Source organism: Homo sapiens, chromosome 4 (assembly GCF_000001405.40).
Source record: "Homo sapiens chromosome 4, GRCh38.p14 Primary Assembly".
Classification (NCBI taxonomy): Eukaryota; Metazoa; Chordata; class Mammalia; order Primates; family Hominidae; genus Homo; species Homo sapiens.
In genome coordinates this window covers 109,282,017-109,302,698 of record NC_000004.12, presented here as the reverse complement: position 1 = coordinate 109,302,698, position 20,682 = coordinate 109,282,017, and the positions used below count along the sequence as shown (strand labels likewise).

At 37.0% G+C, this 20,682-nt stretch overlaps 1 protein-coding gene across 7 annotated transcripts in view; it reads left to right on the top strand.

Annotated features, from left to right (window-relative positions):
* The window catches only part of COL25A1 (collagen type XXV alpha 1 chain), a 493,934-nt gene continuing 473,292 nt past the window's right edge, over positions 41-20,682 (top strand). For 3 of the 7 annotated variants that reach the window (NM_198721.4, XM_011532333.3, NM_032518.4), the window contains exons 1-3: positions 41-530; positions 624-976; positions 2,047-2,116. In NM_198721.4, coding sequence (NP_942014.1) covers positions 680-976; positions 2,047-2,116 — 367 coding nt within the window. In that variant the 5' untranslated portion in view covers positions 41-530; positions 624-679. Of the gene's footprint in view, positions 977-2,046; positions 2,117-20,682 lie in introns of all 7 variants that reach the window. The other 4 variants (NR_045756.3, XM_011532334.3, XM_011532335.3 and 1 more) reach the window with 3 other exon arrangements.

The following is a 20,682-nucleotide window of genomic DNA, read 5'->3' as shown; positions in this document are numbered from 1 at the left end:
TCGCGAAGGGTATTTAAGGATCGCGCACGCGGGGCTGCGGAGATCCTTCGGGCAGCCGCGACTTCGGCTTCGCGAGTAGCATTGGTTCCTTGGGTTTATTTCGTTTTCCTCTCTCTTCTCCACCTTAGTCGCCCCTTTCGCGCTGCGCTGTAGCGTGCTCTCACAGCCTTTTTGCCTTGAACTGAATGCAGGTGGGAAACAGGTCGGCGTGCCGAAAGACACCGAGTAGGTAGAAATAAGGCAAACTCACAGAGGCGCAACAGGTCCGGTCCTCCGTGGCCAGGGCGAGCCGCGGCCCCGCGTGGCGCCTCGGCCGTTGCCCTCGGACCCTGAGCGGCCACTGTTGGGGCCCTCGAAAGAGGTGTCGGTCCTCTGGGAGTCGGAAGAGCTGTCTGGGTGGGTTTCGTCTTGCTTTTTACCCCACCGCCACCCAGTCCCCGGACGGAGGGTGCTTTTCACTTCCAGCTGGGAGGAGAGAAGAAAGCGGGGATGGTGCACGCCTGCGGGTCTGGACGCTGAGCAAGGCAGGGGTCCGTATCCGCTCGTGGGCTTGACTCCACCAACTAGTTGTGCAGCCACAGGGACTGAACTTTGGAGGAATCGACCTTTTTCTTTCCTTTTAGGATTATTTGAGGTGTAGAGGGTGGGAAGCGAAGCCGAGACGGCCGACCCCGCCACGATGCTGCTGAAGAAGCACGCAGGGAAAGGAGGGGGCCGGGAGCCCAGATCCGAGGACCCGACCCCTGCCGAACAGCATTGTGCCCGGACCATGCCCCCGTGTGCCGTCCTGGCGGCCCTCCTGTCAGTGGTGGCCGTGGTGTCTTGCCTGTACCTGGGTGTGAAAACCAACGACCTCCAGGCGAGGATCGCCGCTCTCGAATCCGCCAAAGGGGCCCCTTCCATTCATCTGCTGCCTGATACCCTGGATCACCTCAAGACTATGGTGCAAGAGAAAGTGGAGCGACTTCTGGCTCAGGTGTGAGAGGCTGGGGTATTTTGCACGTGGGTAACATCTTGTACAAGCGTGACTCTGTGTGCATGACTAGCCGCTACCCTTACTGTACCCATACTTGGTGTGGCTGTGTGTGTGCGCGCGCGTGCATGTGTTGGCCAAGGATCTATGCTCACTGTAGCATATATTTATATGTGCACATCCCTTGATGTCCCCATCCCTATCTCTAATCTTCCCTCACTCTCTCTTAATGTTTGCGTGTTAAACACATAGGAAGGTCTAAAAGGGTTCGGAAAGGGCATTTTATCTCTTTTTAGTTGTCCTAAGTCAAACCCAATTGTGGAGAGAATATTTCTTGCAGAGATAGCATCTGTTAAATCTTTTACATGTTGTAAGATGGTTAGGGTCATAGATGTTATTAATATATAAAAAAGGTAATCACTCTTAAATGTAAAATAATGTCATATATAATTTAAAATCAATAATTTCACACGTTGAATCTTTTCATATTAAAAGTTTAAACTTTTTTTTTTTAAAGTAGCTTTATTTTTGGTAAAGGATGCAGTGCCGGGGTATTTATGAATGCAGAGCCCTTGGAATTGAGAGTTGAGAGGAATCTATGTTATGTGTAAGGGTACCTTTAGACTAGAGTAAGGGGGTTTTCTGGAACCTTACCCTAGCCGGGAGCCTATTTGGCAGTAGTTGCAGCCTAGCATGATAAATAAAGCAGTTGACCTTCATGTATAAAATATTGGCTGTTATTGGTAAGCCACAGCTTACCTAATACTGCAACATTTTAGTGCTAGGTTTTTACATTGACTGCATATGCTTGAGCTGAGGGAGAGAGTGGTGGTAGAGAAGAATGGAGAAAGATGTTATACAAGTCCAGCAATCTTGATACCCTATCAGTGGTCATTTTCTTTTTTTAGGACTTAGGCATGGTTACTTTCTTGACTAGAGTCCAAGTACATATGTAAATGTTAGTTATGCAGGTTATGAAATGCCGGTAAATCAGGCGTATGGCCAGAGTCCCTAAAGACTCCATCCCTCTACAGTGCTACTGATGATTATTAATAACTCTTCTTTTCCTACAGAAATCCTATGAACATATGGCTAAAATAAGAATCGCAAGAGAAGCACCTTCAGAATGTAACTGCCCAGCAGGTAAAATGGAACTTATTTAACAAGGTTTCCTCCAGAGCAGAGCATTTTAAAACAAAGGTCCTGTGTCTGTCAAGTCTACCTGTAATAATAGTAAAGAAAGAATGCAGACCCAACTTGCTTTAATAAAATCAACATGTCTCATTCAAAAGGATGGCAAATAAAGCCCCAAATATTATTTTAAGCAGCATACCAAGGCCTGTTATGGGAAAGCAAAGGATATAATCACCAAAGAAAATATAGGCAAGGTGATGTACAAGGACAAACTTCTTAGATTCACAGATTGAAAAATATTCTTCAATTAAATTGTCTTAATGTCTACAGTGAAAAGGACTGTAGAACTGTTAGATTCTGAATTCCTGGCTCGCTCTTATTGTGTTAGTGCAGAGTTTTTTTTTTTTTTTGTTTTGGTTTATTCCCTTTGGCATACGTTTATGTTAGTAAACCACCTTCACTTCCTTTCCTGCTGTTTCTGTTCTATTAAAAAGATTCCATCTCCTATCCTATAGCTAGAGATGATGACTGAAAGAAAATGATTTCTTTATCTTGAGCTTCCCATTACAAACTCTTGCATTCTCAGTGACTTTTGAAGAAGAGGCTCTTATATTTTTACCTTTTTTTCCTGTGTAGCTTCAGGGAACTATATTAAAGGCAGCATATTAGTAGAAGGACAGAGAAGAAGGACATCATGAATAAGACCCCTGGGTAATCATTAAATCTTCCTTCATGGACCTTTGAGGGCTTGGTAGATATCTTAGACCTAACAATTTAGAAGCCCTTGGAATATGGCCATTGGAAACATCTAGTGGATTCAACTCATGTAAGTCATGAAAAACTCCCATGAGTTGAGATGTTTATTTCAGATAAACATTGTTAATACATTTATGAACATGATAGTTTCTTTTATCATCACTCATGGAAAGTGAGTCTCTTAAAATTTCTTTAGTATTAAGCAACATGATACTTAGGTGCTTATATATGAAAAGGCAAGTTCTTGTATTTTTTCATATTCTGAAACGTTTCCCCCTCATGATAACTTGTTTTGGCAGAGCTACACAAGGCACCACATTTAGAAATTTTAAATGTCAACTCCAGGTTGTACCTTATACAAATTTTACTATTTATATTCTGTTAAATTTTTGAACATAATAGAGCTATATCTTTAAAATGAAGCCCTTTTGATCGAGAAGACATATATGTTAGGTACCAGAAAAACAGAGTTAACCTTTGACAGTGTAGGTCTCATTCTTAGTTGTTTTATGTTGGAAAATATCTCAGAAGTCAGATATTCAAGGAAGGCACTTTTCTAGTGTGGGAATTAACTCAACCACCTCATCAGCCTGTAGGGATTATTTAAATTCCCAGGACAGTTGGTGCAGGACTTCACTGATCATACCACGTAGAGTCCAGCATTTTTTTGTATACAATATTCTTACTAGCTCTGTGAAAAATAGCTAGTGCTTAATTAATAGAATTCTTAATAAACTTAGTAAAAATAGAAAAGTGACAACCACAACATTGAGTTCTATTTTTTGAGAAGATATAATTGTTTCGTGATGTTTAATGTAGGCTAGCTACTGAAGTCTAACTTGCAATCTAAAAGAAATCTATTACATTTAAAATTTACTGTATATTATCTTAGATTATTTTGGACCATTTTTCATCTTAGCATGTGAACGTAATAATAAATGGAGATTTCCTAGGCTTTTTTGTTGGCTCCCACTAATAGCTGCTTTACCTCTTGCCACCACCAGAGCTCCACATTACATCAGTTTTTACCTGGCAGCTTCCAAGGTAAACATTTGAAGGTGTGCATTCTAATATGCAGAATCAAGCAGGTTTCTTGCTGACAAACTGCTATTATGGAAATACTCCCTTTTGCTTGAGGAATAATCAGACATCATCAAAATAAGGACATTACGTTGAAAATAATATCTTGGGGAAAACTATTTATTTCTAATACGGCCAGTGAGGAGTTGTCTTAGGGAATGAATGGGCTGACCAAGAGGATTAGAAAAGAGATTCAGCACTTCCACCTGGTTTGGCTCTAGCCCTGGTTTGCAGTGACTAAGAGTTGTCACCTAGACATCTGTTTGTAGGGCAGAGTGAGACAAGTCTGTGACCTCAGCTCAGTTCCTGTGGACAGATGCCCACCCCTTGAAGTTAACACTCTTGTTAACAGTTTTAGTCACAGAGCCAAGGACTGATAGCAAAGAAGCAATGATGTGTTGTTTGTGTTCACTCATTTCTTTTGATAGAACTCAGTCCCAGTGAGGTTTATTCAGGTAGGCTCTAAGGGTAATCATAGAATTTATAGATATATTTTTATGCACAAAAAGGAACCTCTGTGAGAGAGAGATGAAAAGGACAATTTTTTAAAAATGGCTTCTAATGGCAGGGGATGTACTCTCTAATTTAATTTTCACAATGACCCTGACTGAAGTATTAGCAGTCTCATTTTACAGATGAGGAAACTGAGACTCAGAGAAGATGATTAACTTAACATGGTAAAGGCAAAGTCAGGATTCATGCCCACATCTGATAGAACTAAAAGCCCAGTCTACCAAGGAATAGAGAATAAGTATAGGTTTTGGACCTGGATAATTCCGGATTGGAATCCTGGATCTAGTACTAAATAGCTGTGTACATTGGTCAAACTAATGAACTTCCCTATGTTCTAATTTCCTCATCGGCAAAAAAAAAAAAAAAAAAAAAAAAAAAAAGAAAAGGAAAAAAGACTAATAATACCTTCCTTAGGGTAATAGTTTACCTAAATAGTCTGGTATATTAGTGGCTATCCATTAGACAATAGTAATTACTATTCTTTTTAGTATATTATATGCTACTTAGCTCTGCTGTGATCTACAGAGACACATGAAATAGGTGGGAAAACTGAGACCTGGAGATGTTGTATAATTTGCTAAAAACCCAGTGGCTAATTAATGGCAGGTTTGGACTAGAACACTGTACTTAATTAAACAAATGTATCTGTAGATTATTCATGAGATAATCATACTAGTCAGTATTTCTTGGTGCTATATAAATAAAGATTGGTTCTTTTTTGATATTTATATAAGTCTCCTAAATTATTCTTACAAAAATTGCAGGGAAAACTTTTGACCTTTTAGGTAAACCATGATTGAAGTGGATAGGACCTGGGCTTAAAAGACCATGGGGATATTAAAAAATATCTTTACAGTTTTAATACCAGATGTTTACAAAAAGAAGTAGCTTAATTATGTGACTCCTTTTCAATTTTAAATAGCCTATTGCAGTAAAATTTTTAATATTTACCTATTTTAAGATTTTTAAAACAGATTAATAGAGTTGGGCAGCCATCACCACAATCCAGTTTTAGATCATCTTGTCACCCTGGGAAACTTGCATTTATTTCTTTCATGCAGTCAGAAAAGCTCTATTTTAAAAAATATTTGGTTTAAAGAAACCCAAAATGATAATTTTAAAAATAATAATCTTAAAATTTCCATACAAATTGAAGCTGTGTTTAGCAGAATATTTGGTTTAGCAGTAACCAAACCAGAGAAATTCAGCTGGCATCTGTGGCTTGGCCTCTGTAAAATTCAACTCTAATTGGAAAGAATAAGTTGGCTCTTTGCTATGGCTGTAGAATTTAGTTTTGGGTTCTGTTCTTGGAGTCCTATATAAAATATGCATAAACCAGGCATATCTATGAGAAGGTTTTTATGTTTCAACTGATAAAGAACATTGGGAACCAGGCAGCCAACCAAAAGATGTGTAGATTACAAAGATTTCTGTATCTTACTCATCAGTAGTGTTGCCTGCCCAGGATATTAGGTATAAGAACCTCTGTGGTGTAATGAACGAAGAATGTGGATGCGGAATAAAGAATCCAAAGTTCTAATCCTGGCTTTGTCATTAACTTATTATGCAATTTTGGGAAGTCATTTCCAAGAACACCTCTTAGAGTTTCTATTTTCATATCTCCAAAATAGGAGTGCTGGACAAGAATGATTTTGAAGGGCATTTGTCAGTTCTTCAGGTTAAATGAAAAGGCTGCTGTATGCCAAATACTGTGCTAGACATTGGGAAAATGTTGATGTACAAGGCAGACTTGGTATCTTCCCTCAAGAAGCTTACATTTTGATGAGGATGACAGACAAATCTTTAAAAATGATGTGAATGTACAGGTATGACAAGTGCAACCAAGAAAAAGTATAGTGTGCTTTGGGGCAGATGACTAAAATCTCTTCCATTTTTGTAAACCCAAAGATTTTATTTTTCTTTTCTCTGGGGAAAATAAAGAAAAAAGTATAATTCTTTTCTAGAATTTCACAATAGAGAAAATCTGGTTTCCGATGAAAATAAAAACTCTAGCAATGGATAAAAAGCTGATTTGCCTTTTAGGTCTCCAAGAATTTATGAACAGATAGAGGTACACTGATACCTGGTATACTTACCCCATGTGAAACAAAAAAAGGCACTTTTAATATATAAAGGGTTGTTGTAGACAGGAGGATGATGGCTTATTCTTCTACTTTTCTCCTGAAAATAGGGAGAGTTAGGTTGAATAAGGAGAGAAACTTTTTGTCTGGCTTACTGAACAGTACCACTGGACCTGGCTCCTGTACATTTGTGATAATCATTCAATGTAACACAGCTAGTCATTTGCTTGGAGAGTTTAACTAGAGATAAAAAAGATACACTAGGTAACTTCTGAGGTCTCTCTATACATTCCAAGTCCATGAAAATGATGGTGTACAAAATAAGAATACATGTAGGCAAGCGATTCACATAGGCAAGCAAGATTCATAAATGCAAATGATATTGCCCCTGGTGACTGACCTCGTTGCCTATGTTCTCATTTTTGGGTGGAAATAAATGTTAGCTGTAGCTTGATGGTTGTGTACTCTTTCCCATTGTATAAGAAGAACCTTTAAATTACCTTTCTAACATAAATTTACTTTCTCACATAAAACTTGTGTTTCCTAGTATACATGGTTTTTCACTTATGCTATATGTTTTTATCTTAACACTGCACAATCTATGGAAAGAGTGCATCAAGTAAGGGGATAATAATGTGTAGATTTTCAATTATGTAAGGTAAAGCATAGTCAGAAACAGTTTGCAGAAAGAAATCAAATTAAAATGCTATAAATTTTATTTAAATGAGAATAGCAGGCATTCCTCTCTTCTTATAAGGCCAAACAATACAATGTGACATCTGAGTGCCTTCAAGCATCCATGTTAAATTGTTTCAGTCCTAATGAGTACAACAGTGTGGATCTAACACTTTTAGTTGGTCCAGGAGTGACAGCTGGTAAAAATGCCCAGTCACCCAAAGTGCCAATGACAAATTGCCTCTTGAAGCAATGTTCTTGTTTCTTAGCTTCTCTTGTCTACAAGTTTTTAAGAAGCTAATTCTTAAACTACTCTTTTCTCTTTCTTACCTTAATAATTCTATTTTTTCATGAGCTGGGAATTACTTAAAAGAAGGATACAAATTCTGCATAGAGTTTAATTCATTCTAGCTCATTCAAATTATATGTAGACATAAGAAGCCTCTCAGGGCCATAATATCCTACTGTGCTTCTGATTGCTTTGTAATTGTGCAAAATCAACTACATGATGTTAATGAAAATAGTATCTGAATGTCAGGCTTAGGTCTAGGGATGGAGAAGGGGCATCCTCTTACTAACAGGATTAGGTGAATGGAGAGATGATGGGGAAATATGTCAGAATCAGGACTGCTTTGCAGCCCTGGGGGGCATTTCCTGTTTCAGGGAACCTCACAAGACATTTATCCAAATAACATCAATCTATGTTATCCTGAGTGGAAACCGTCCAGAACCTATCATGAAAAAGGTTTTTATTTCATACTATCACTTTATAAACAATTATTTGGTGGTTTTAAGGAAGCTGAGAATGTGAAAACAATGTATGAGTCAATCCGGGCTGCGGCTATAGCCTAGTGTGCAATGGTTAAATATAGATGCATCCCCAGCCTCCCTGGTTTGCCAATATGGGTGAAGTTCCATGTGGTGGTTTAACGCACCATGATATTTAGCACCTTTTCCCTGGTTTGTGTTAAAAATTACTGTAGTATGCCCACATACTCAATTCTTAGACATGGATAGTTACTGCTTCATTTGGGATTTATTCAGAAATCTTGCAATTAAGAAATATTATTTTAAAATTGACTGTTTTAAAAAAGTTAAGTATAGAAGAGTGAGAAGCAGAAGTAAGTGGAAATCACTTACAAATTAAAATTGAGCACTTTTCATTGGCATCATATATTCCTCCAAATGACTATTCTGTGATTCATTTAAATGAAAGGAGCCATTGAGGAAATGGCACCAGATGGCAGGCACCTCCCCTTTGTGACCTCTAGGAGGAGGAACTGAGCTGAATAGCGTACTTCCTCTCTTCTGCCTCCTTCCCAGTTAAACCCCTAGCTGACTTCTATCTTTTGACTTCTGTTTGCAATGAAAAAGATTCATGGAGGAAGCAAGGAATTTCTTCCACCTATATTTGAAAACTCTAGTGTCCTATCAGCTTTAAGATATTTAAAAGCATCTAGTAGATTTCACATTTATATTAGTCAAATAGTTCATTTAGTAGATAAATTCACAGATATGAAGTTTAAGCTAGTGTCCCAGTAGATAGAATAAATGAACTAAATGTAATTGAACTTACCTGTTGAGGATTTTGTACTTACATTTTGGAATTTCTCAAAATCCAGAATCATTTGGAATCACTGTCATGCTTTTGACATAATGTCATCTGGAGTCTTCATTTCAATGTTAAGTTGCCACATAATATGAGATTTGAAGCGCATTTTTTATTTTTCTTCATATTGTGTTATTTAGTCTTGTTGCTAAATTCATCTTTTTGCTATAAAGTCATATTTAGTAGATGTAGACCTTATTTGTCATGAATACCAAGACTATGTCTGTTCATTTGCGTGTTAATCATTTAGATTTTAGGAGCTCTAGTTTCCTGGTTTATGTACACAATGTTTTTATTCTTGTATTTGAAGTGTGGTCAGCACATTTTAAAACACAATTTTCACATTTAGGCTAAGTGGCTGAGTAAATTGTATGAATTGTAGCCAGCTCTAGTTTGTACATTATGGTAATATTGAGAGTCAGAATCTGTCTAACTAAAAGTAGCTGGTCAGGGAAGGGGTAAAGTCTATTTTTTCCCTTGTTTACCAAAGAGTTCACGTGTAAGGAGAGTAAAAGAGGGGAGGAAAAAGCCCCCTTTATCCCCTTAGCTCTCAGAATCATATTTCTTTATCATCATACTTAGAAAGCTTGATATTTTAGAGTTCTTATTGTTATATAATTCTGGACAATAGTTAGGGAGCCAGAGGAATTCTCTGTTATAGCTTTGTATTATACCTCCATTTTTGATCTTTAAGATGCTACAGTGAAATATGTCAGGAAAATTGATCCATTTCTTAGCATTCTGATGTCTTAGGTCAATGCTGGGAGCTGTCAAAGGTTAAGTTGTTTGTATTACCCTTCCAGGAATTATGAAACCCCAATTTGTCATCTCAGGGACTCCAGATTCCAGCTGGCATTTTAAGATAATATATGATATGATCATAAGATGAAAGTGATTTCCACAAACCACATTCAAAAACCAATGCTTTTACTTTAAAGTCATGCCAGAAATGCTGGCCGGTTCTAGGGCTCCTAAGTGAACTTTGGAACACTAAAAATCATTTTTTACTGAAAGAATTAGGGCACAAGGTCAGAGCAGATGATGTTCAAATGGAAAAATGCTTCTTAAATAACTGCTTTTCTCAGGATGGTTATCAACTTGATTGGGAATCAAGTGGGTTAAGTGGGTCAAGGATCCAGTGACTTTTGTGGGCAGATCCTGACACATGCTAACTGGTAAGTGGTCTCATGGTATAATTCTGTTCTACTACCAGTGTCACTTACGGGCTCTCCAAACCCCCATAGATATACTTACAGTCTCTTCCCAGATAAGCGGTCTCATGGTACAGCTGTATTACTAATCTCACTTGTGAACTCCTTGGCAGGGGCTCTGGTTTGTATCTATGTATCTCTAGGGCTCATCGTAGAGCTCTCTATAGAAAGTTCTCTGTAAAACAGCAAGATGTTTATGATGAAGATCTGAAAATGTGGGTTGAGGCTTTTAATATGGTGCATCTCTTTCCATGCATTACTATTCTCATCCCCATGCCTTTTAAACATTTTCTCTGAGAACTTTGTGAGCCATAACATATTAAAACTAATACAAATCTCGGAGATTAATTAGTACAGGGATTTTATAACATTTCTTTAAAAGGCTGAACCTTTTTTAAAAATGAAATTATATGAGAAACCCCATAATATGAAATTGGAAGCAATGTTAGCTACACTGATTGACCTCAGAGACTAGAGCAGGCAGAAGCCAATAGCCTCCATGCTTTCTTTCTGCTGCCCACCTCTCTCCCCGATGCTGGCCCCTGAGGCATCTCCAAAGAACCTTAGGACTCCATAGGACACTATTAGAAAATTAATGCAAGTCCAAGCCCCAGAGGACTTACACTTGTCAACACAGAAGTGATCTTTGAAATACTGTACTGTAAGCATGACTAGATGATGGTAGTAAAATTATGTATTCAAATTAAAGTCTAAAAGTGACTATTCATATAATATCATCTCTTTAATGGGTCAGAGTATTCTAGCAAGGAAGCTGATGTAATAATAGTGTCACAGGAAAGCTGGGTAAATGCACTGTGTAACTGAGCATGGTACTGTTCGTTAGAAAAATCTACATCTCACTTCATCCTTTTTCTTAAAGTCACTTATTTTTTAAGACTTCAAGTGACAATATTGTTCTTGTTCTTTTAATGACAATTTTCTGTGTTTCTTCAAATTTCTTCCCTTATATTTTTACTTATTTTTTAATTCTAGATATTCATATGGAGCTTTATTACCAAGTTACAGCAATTCATTCTTTTAAAATGTATTTACTTAAAGCACTTGATTTTTTGATGAATAGTTAATATTTAGTCCACAAGGTAGTATATGAAAAATAACTCTCCCCTAAATTATGTTATTTATAGAAAATATACGTTATAAGACTTCTAGGATCTTCTAAAGATACTTCTAAGATCTCTGAGACTTTCTTACTTGATTTGATTTTTGGTTGTGTATAAAAATGATGATGTTTGTATATTGAAATTTAAATTGATGGCACAATGAGAATACATGAATTGCACATAAGTAGTACTAGGAAGAAGTCTCTAGGAATTAACAGGATTTTAGCCAATAGTGAGCAAGATATACAATACATTTCACATAGAAAGTATAAATCTGGCTGCAATCGTACTGTAATAAGTACTGCAAAAGAAAATTTGAAAGACAATACTCTACCTCGCATTGAAATGAATGCCCACTGTCATCAGCAGCACTGTTTACTGTATGAGTAGCTAGCTGTGGACAGTTGTTTGGCTAAGTGAAGCACCTTCGTCACTTGTCTGGTAGGACACAGAATGACACAGCAGTTCTACAAGTTATCAAGTGTTGATGAGCAATTTATTTTCTCTTTAATACACAGTCTCAAAGTATGGACTTCAAGGAAGACTGGAAGAGAAAATGACTTCTTTTTTAACTGGTTACTTTGTCTTCTGCAAAAAGACTATCAGTAAAGCAACAAAGATAGGAAAGTTGAACAAGTAAGAAAGGCTGGAAAGACCATATAGGCCAAGCTTGTCCAACCCATGTCCCTGCAGGCTGCATGTGGCCCAGGATGGCTTTGAATGTAGTCCAACACAAATTCGTAAACTTTCTTAAAACATTATGAGTCTTTTTGCAATTTTTTTTTCTCATTGGCTATCATTAATGTTAATGTGTGGTCCAAGACAATTCTTCCAATGTGGCCCAGGGAAGCCAAAAGATTGGACGCCCCTGATACATGCCAACCAAAGCTATTATAAACTACAAAAAAAGAGACTTAACTAAACAAACTGTATTTCCTAAATTTCCTTCCCAACCCCTATAGACATACTGACAATTTCCCAGGATTTTAAGCAGCAAGTCTGACAAGTGTGACTTAGTACTACCATACATGTTAAGCATCTGGAAGTTTTTAATTTGAAAAACCCCAAACCTCTAGCATTGAGAAATTCCTTCCATAAAGAGACCAGGACTTTTATGTACTTGCATATAATTTCCTCTGTACAAAATTATTTAATGATCCAAGCTTTAGCTATTTCTGAGGACACTTTCCTGAATATTGGCTTGGTTCTGCAACCAAGTTCTATATGAGGAATGCTATATATTGGTGGTAAAATTTATTTACCATTTTTGGAATTTTAAAAAAAAGGTTCATTTATTTTTATAGCAAAAAATGCCCTTGAATGGAGAAGTCTGAGGTATACTTTCTGTATTCTGTGGGTGAGTTCATGACACATTAGAGTCAGAATGTGTTTTATTCTTTTAAGCTTTCATCTTTTTGAGCAGAAAACCCTTGCTTCCATCATCAATCCTCAAGAAGAAATCTCAGAGGAATTGTATAATCAGTAACATGTATCCCCTGTATATATGTATCATACATCATTTTTTCTCATCATTTTCAAGTTATTACATCTGTACTTTTGTTTATTTTTAATCATATACTGCTAGCATTTTAAACATTCACACTGTTTCACAATTATAGGATGTGATGAGAATAATGTTCATTGGATTCCTAAAAAACCAAGAGTAAATACAGCAAACAGGCCCTTAATCAACAAGCATTGCCCTAACGTGATCCGTGGTTGGCAAGCAGAGTGGACAGGATTGTCTTTGGGAGGTAGCCATATAGCTATGAAACTACAAAAACAGAGGATGTTCTATGTTCCTAAATAAGAACCCCATTCTACTCAGGGGGCTCCCCTATCTTCCCTCCCTTTCTCTAGCATGGATAGAACCCCTATTTTGCCTCCATTCTGTTGATGACACTTTACCTGGATTACTGTCAGCTTCTGATTTGGAGCTTCATCACCCTTGGGTCCCAAAGCCTCTAGACCTTTCCTGGGTGATAGCTATATTCATGATTCAATTTAGCAGCATAACTGAGAAAACATCAATGGCAAATATCAATATTTCTCCTACATTTCAAAAAGTAGCTGATTATTTTCTCAAAAATTACTGTTAAAATATAAATTTCAAAAAAGAAAATTATGAGTTTCATACAGATGTAAAATTAACAAGTGTTAAAGATTTTACTTAAATCATTAAAGAAGGAACTAGTAAGGTGTTATAACCAGTTCAAAGGAGAGTTTAAAAACATACATATTTTTAGTTCAGGAATATTGAAATAGATGTACAAAGGGAGGCAAAACGGACTTTTTCACAGTGGGAAGTCAGTTATACTCAGAGTTTGCATGTCTATAGATAAAAGTAATTTTGTTTTTCTATTAATTATCTACAACTTACACAGTTATAAAACAGCTCTCAAAGAATCAGAATCAGATACATAGGAAAGATGTACTGTAGACAATGCAGTTTTCCATAGGTGTACAAATTTTTTCCTACATTACTAAAGCAACTACACAGGAAACAGTTCTTTAGGTAAGCAAAAAATTTTGTATATATATGTGTGTGTGTGTGTGTGTGTGTGTGTGTGTGTGTGTGTGTGTATATATAATTTAGTATTCCTGGTAGTAATGATGATTGTTTATTATTCTGTTTCCTTTCATATTCCTAACCTATGGATTTGGGGGACTGAATGTTTTCATTTCTGTTAAAATTAGTTATTTAAAAGACAGTTCCTGTGAGTTTGGACTTTATATACTTTATCTGCTAGGCCCATGCGGTGGTGCTAATTGCTATGCTTGCATTACTGGTGTGATTTACATCAGTGTAAAATGGAAAATTGTAACACTGACAATTTGTTTGAGGCAGACACCACTTTGGAAGACACTGCTTCCTGTATTTAGGTACCAATGAATAGTTCCACTAATGTTAAAGAAGGAGTTGCTGACCTCACTTTGTGTTTTGGAAAATTATGTACAGGCAGTTACATTAGCCTTTCTCCCTTTTCTGTACTTCCAGGGAACCACCCTATTAATAATAGTGCCCATTATAAATATTTAATATAAAAAAACCAGAAAAGTAAGATAACAAAGGGGTTAAAGAGCATCTTTGATCATAATGGATTTTGCAGGGAACCACATTGTGATTAGAAAAGAAAATATTTGTGAGTAAATCAATTCCATGCTCCTGTCTTATATTTTTGACTGTGTGTATTTAGCAACAGAGCAAACAGAGCATGTTATACCAACTCCATTACTGTATTTAAAATTTTGAGCTCATAAATGATATTTGTTTCATAATCTACAAAAATATCTAGCCTTTTTCTTTTTCACTAGCAAGAGATGTAGAGGAGGAAAGCCTTAGTTATTCCTGGGCCTGAGTAAGGCTGAGGAAGGGGAAGGACTGAAGGAACTTTTTGAATGGAGAAACCATTCATCTGTAGACTGCATTTGCCTGATATGAGCATATGGTTGCCTCTGGGATTTTACGCTGCTATTTTGGCCCTCCTGGCTTTGACTTCAGATATCTCATCTCCTAGTTTATTTTTTTCTTGGATACTTCCAGCCAGTTCCCATCTTACTCATGCATGTGTTGTTGCTTCAGACAACATTGTTTTTAATCCATACTTCGAAAGATTTGTTTGCCTATTCTTGGCCCATATGTCTCCCATTGGTCTGCCTTGTTTGATCTTGCTTTACCTCTTCTACCCACATGCAACCCACTTTATCAGCTCCTCAAACAGCTCGGCCTTAAGCTTCCTAGGTATGTGGATGCTCTCCTCTGCTCTTGCCTGTCTCAGTTGCTGCCACCTTTTGGCTGAGGCAACTTGGATTCTGGCAGAAGAATGGCTGAAGCTAGATGATGGCCTTGCCTATACATTCTAGGAAGAAAGTATGTCAGAATAGGGGCTATGGGTGAGGGGAATCCATTGAAACTACAGGTGGGTTGGTGGGTTTTGTAGGGAAATATTTATCTTCATTTAAAAGCAAGTTACATTCTGGTTGTCTCCTACTACTAGGTAGAGGAGGGACTAATTATAAATATTAAACATTTTAGATATTAGTATTTAAAAATGATATATTGTGGATGGTAACTGACCTCTGGTATTACCTAATGCCAGTCGACTCTGGCAAAGGTGAAAGGTCATGTATATAGCAGCCTTTAAAAATTTTTTTTATTCAATTAACTAATAAAATGTTTATTGTGACTTACTGTGGGTGAAACCCTGTGCCAAATGCCTGACTGTTTAGGGAAATAAGTAGGCTGCTAAACCCTACTTATTTCTTCACCTAAACATTAGATGAAGAACTAATGGTGTCAGATAAGCAGACTGAAGACTGCAATAGAATTAATAATTACAAAAGTATGGCCTGTAGCAAACCGTATCCAATTTTAATGGACTTAAAACTACAATGATAATTGGTATTTGAACTCATAATTCCAGTTTACTTTTCATGACTTCAAAAATAGTAACATGTTATCAGAGAAATTGGTATTTGGATTTTTTTGTGTGTGTGTATTATGATACTTTGCAGAAATGCTGCTAACACACCAATGAGATGGTTTTTCTGGAGATAAATGATCTCTGCCAGTTGTTAGGTCAACTGTCACATTTTTAACTCCTCCCCAAGATGCCTTCTGGCAGTTATTGGAGCCTTGCTGGCCCTCCTAAATGTTGGATCAGACTCTGTGGTCATGTTTTCTAGCGAAGGCAGAATCTCTGGGTCTTGGTTAGACTCCCTTGGGTTGTGAGAACAGAGATCGAATTAGGTGGCCTTCAGTAACAGTGGTATATAGATTTTCAACCTTCCCATTATTGATATTTTGGGTTGGTTACTTCTTTATTTTGGGGGGCTGGTCTGTGCGTCATAGGATGCTTAGCAGCATCCTTTGTTTCTATCCACTAGATGCCAGTTGCACTCCTTGGCTTCCATAACCAAGACTGCTTCCATATCTTGCCAAATGTCCCAGAGGAAGCAAAAATCATTCCCAGTTGAGAATCATTCTTTACTTATTCCCAGTGAATAAAAAAGGCAAGAATATATACTCTGCAGCTAGTTCTCTTAGAAGAACAGGAAATGAAGGGTAGTCAGAACAGTCAGGATATATGATCATCTTCTCACCGGGAGGCATCCATTATAGTGCCTGCTGGGGCCTAAGAATTTTATTTCTATTTCTATTGTTTTATCAAAGCTGTTCTTTCCTCTACATTATAGCTGCTTCTGTTGCCTTATGCTCAAGGTGTACCTCAAGGTTGAACTCTTTCTTTGTGTTTGATGATAGTATTGTTATTATTATTAAATGATTCCATGCATATAACAAAAATGCAAAAATTTGAATTAAAAGTGGTACACAATATCCCATCTCTCTTCAGAGGTGTCTATTGCTGTAGTTTGTTGCATATTTTCCTAACACAAATTGATTTGCATCATTCTTTTTGAAGGCTATACACTATTATATGATTGTACCACAGTTTAATAGGATGACAGACAACTTTTGAAAGTGCAGATACTATTTCCTGTTTCTAATTTTTCTGTTTCCTGAGGAAAATTACTTTGATTCCTACTTCTATTCCACCAGCCTCAAGCTGTATATGTGGGAGCCCAGTCAATTCTTCTTGACTAAGATATTACTGATGTGGTATGCTGCTGATAAATGCTTAATCACTCTCAAACAGACAAAAAAACAAAAAACAAAACAAAACAAAAACCAACAAACAACAACCCAACTCTGATTTGTAGCATTTGCAAGTTTTTCGGGTGTAAATATCCTACCAGGATTGATTTCAAGTTAACACAGTAATGTTAGGAAGTGATATTTGAGTGTTTATTAGCTTTGCTTTTAGAGTAATTTTTAAATAGTAAGTTTATAAAATTTGTTTTAATAATCACTGTGTTTAACAATGGGCTTGCAAAATCCTGAAAGCTGAACCATCAGCTCTCTCGAGTCAGCATTCAGCTTCTCACAACCACTGGCACTGATAATCCCTTTTTTAGATTGTGTGAATTGCATTATTCGTCATAATGTTGTCTCCAAGGGACAACGCTGCCTTGGCTAGTATTTTAGAATCTCAGTGTTGGAGAGAGTGTGTTTGAAAGTTATCTAGACATACATTACATTTGATACTTGAATTCCCTTGGTGACATTCTGGCTATAATAGTTGGTGACATAAGTCATTGAATTTATGATTATCATTTGAAATAGAGCTTTCAATTTTGGACAATTTGTTAGAAAACTTCACCTTTTTGTTAGGTTGAAATTCTTCTCTTTATATAGCATGGATCATTTGATTCTGTATACCATTCTTGCTCTACATCATAAAAAACAAGTTGAGTACCTCTGTACTATGATAACTCTTCAAGTATTTAAAATGACCTATTATATTTCCTATCGATGGCTTTATTTTTAGAATAAATTCCCTTAATTCATTCAGAGGTTCAAGCTCATCTATTTCTTTCTTAAATTTGTGCAACTGATTCTCAATGAAGCTCCAGATGTGGCCTGACAGGTGTATGCAAGAATGGGAGAGAAAAAAAACTTCCCTAGTTCTAGAAACTATACTGCTAACTAAGCAGACTAAAATTATAATAACTTTCTTGCTGGTCTCGTAATTCTATTGGCTGATACTGAATTTAGCACTGATGAAAATCCTGAAGTTTTTTTTTTTATACATGCTGTTAAGTCCTGTCTTCCTCACTCTTTATTGTATAGGTTTTTTTTTTTTTTCCTGGGTGGGGCATGGGGGGACAAATTCAAGACTACCTATATATTTTTATTAAATACTTACCTGTGTTTATAAAACCTAAATCCGGCCTTGTCAGAATTTGTTGGAATAATTATTCTTTCAATAAATTTCCAGCTTCCTTTGCCTTCATGTGACTTGGAAATTTGATGAAAACTGACTAATGGTGTTTTCTTCTGATTCTGTAATAAAATGCCTAAGCGTGAGAAAGTTCAGCACAGAGCCCCATGGCTTTCTGGTAGTTTTTCTCTTTTAGTTGCCAATAATCTATTTATGAGCACCTTTGGAATTGCATTTTTACAGTGATCCATTTACTTAATTGTCTTCCGTGCATTGCAGTGCTTTCAACTGTGTTCCTCAGAGCACCATTGCCTTTTCTTTTCTTTTCTTGTTTTTGACGGAGTCTCACTCTGTCATCCAGGCCAGGCTAGAGTACACTGGTGCGATCTTGGCTCACTGCAACCTCTACCTTCTAGGTTCAAGTAATTCTCCTGCCTCAGCCTCCTGAGTAGCTGGGATTACAGGCACATGTCACCATGACTGGCTAATTTTTGTATTTTTAGTAGAGACAGGGTTTTGCCATGTTGGCCAGGCTGGTCTCAAACACCTGACCTCAGGTGATCTGCCTGCCTCGGCCTCCCAAAGTGCTGGGATTATAGGCGTGAGCCACTGCACCTGGTCCCATTTCCTTTTTATTGTTAACAAATGTTGTAAGGAAGAAGGTTTTCAAGATCAAATAAATCAGAGATACATTAAATTAAACACATATACGCAGATTTATTTACTGTAGGTTTTGTGCCTTGTGAATCTCCAGACTGGAGAATATAATACAGCATGTTTTCCAAACGTTTTTGGTCATAGAACACTGTTTTTTCCCACTTAGATAAAATAATATAACTAATAGTAAACTGTTCTGTGGGTTGATAGATGTTTTCCACTGGGGATATTTGGAAGGAAGTAGTTTGGAGGTTTGCAGAACTTTAGCTGAGATAGTCTAAGGTTAGTAAAGAAAGTGTTTCTCAACTTTCAGAAGTAGGGCTTGATGAGTTTCTAGAAAGCAGGAAGAAATGGAAGAGAAGGGGAAGAAACGTTAGTATAAATGAAGATACTCTGGGTTGGACTAAAGTCTAAAGCCAGATGGCAAACTCAAATGTCAGACAAATAACACACTTGTGTGAAGTTTGTTAGACTAGGCTATCTTGTCAGCAGATTGGATTGTAAGACCTACCTAAAAGCATTCAAGTAATTTTTAAAAACACGTTGCTAGCTGATGGGGCTCACGCCTGTAATCCTAGCACTTTGGGATGCCTAGGTGGGAGGATCACTTAAGCCCAGGAGTTTGAGACCAGCCTGGGCAACATGGTGAGACCCTTTCTCTTAAAAAAAAAAGAAAAAGAAAAAGAAAAAAAATTAGCCTGGTATGGTGGCACATGCCGGTAGTCCCAGCTACTTGGTGGGCTGAGGCAGGAGGATTGCTTGAGCCCAGAAGTTCGAGGTTATATGAGCCATGGCCATGCCACTGCACTCCAGCCTATACAATAGAGTGAGACCCTTTTTCTTTAGTGAGGTCTAAAGCCTGAACTTTCGCATTTTGTTCAGTGACCCAACTAAGCTATAGCAGCTCTCTAACTCAAATACACAGGGATATTTTCAGTTTGGAGAAAAAAAGAAGTAACTTATATTTTATATAAATTTCTCCTTTTCAACTCAATTATCCTCTCTACTTAATGCTGCTTAGTTTTTGTGTGTGACACATTTCAGAGTATACAGCTTGTTCTTATGTTCATTAAGAACATTATAGTATTTTTCTTTCCTTAAAAATATGATCTTTATCCTTTTTTTCTTCAGTGCTTTACCATGCATAGAGCAATAGTAATAAAGTTTAGATAGTAACTAGTCATAATTAGGTACAATAAATATTTTAGTTTCATCAGAGCCTTTTATGTATAGTCTGAATCAAGTAGCCTTAACAATACATAGCTTAAGCGAGTGTTCTCAAGACTTCATATCTAGAACACAGCAAACTTAATATATCTGCGTGCATGTTGATAATTACCTATAGGTGGAATTACTGGTTCTAATTTTATGAACCCATAATGTGAACAGCTAAATGGCACATTAGCCAGGGAAAGAAAGTTCTGATCTCCAGGTATCCCCACCAGCACTGTGGTGAACTCTCAAAGGCAGGGTGATATAACCATAGTATAAATGATTAGCAAATGATATTGAAGAATATCTTTAACAGTTCTTGACTCTATAAATAGTTAAATGACAACTTCTCAGAATTCCTACCAAAATCTCAGTTCATTTTTCCACTGTGCCACAAATCAGTGATGTTTTGTTGGGTTCAGCTTTGTCTTTTTCATTATTTTTTCTCATTTTTATGCAACACCTTTTAGTTCTTTTCCACTTCTGCTACTGGCTCCATTTTTGTGCCATAGAGGGGAAAACATTGTAGTTATCTAAGATCAAAGGAGTATCTTTGTTAATAATAATCACTCTTGATGTTTTGTCCTGAAGGTTTTGCAGGAACTTTCATTTCTGTTGTTCTTACTCTTTGGGGAGCTGGATTTAAAACCCAGCCAGAAATCCATCAACATTTTACTGTGTTTTTTAGAGTAGCTGAAAAATTGCTTAGTATGAATGTCAGTGTTCATATTAAAAAAATGATTTCGTTGAGAGATGAACTAGCTTTAAAAACAAATTTGAAGCAAAAATATAATTTAACTGTGCAAATCATCATTTTTCCCATTGGGTTGGTTTTCTGCTGCCTGCAGCATGGCATAATGACATACACCCTTAGGCTC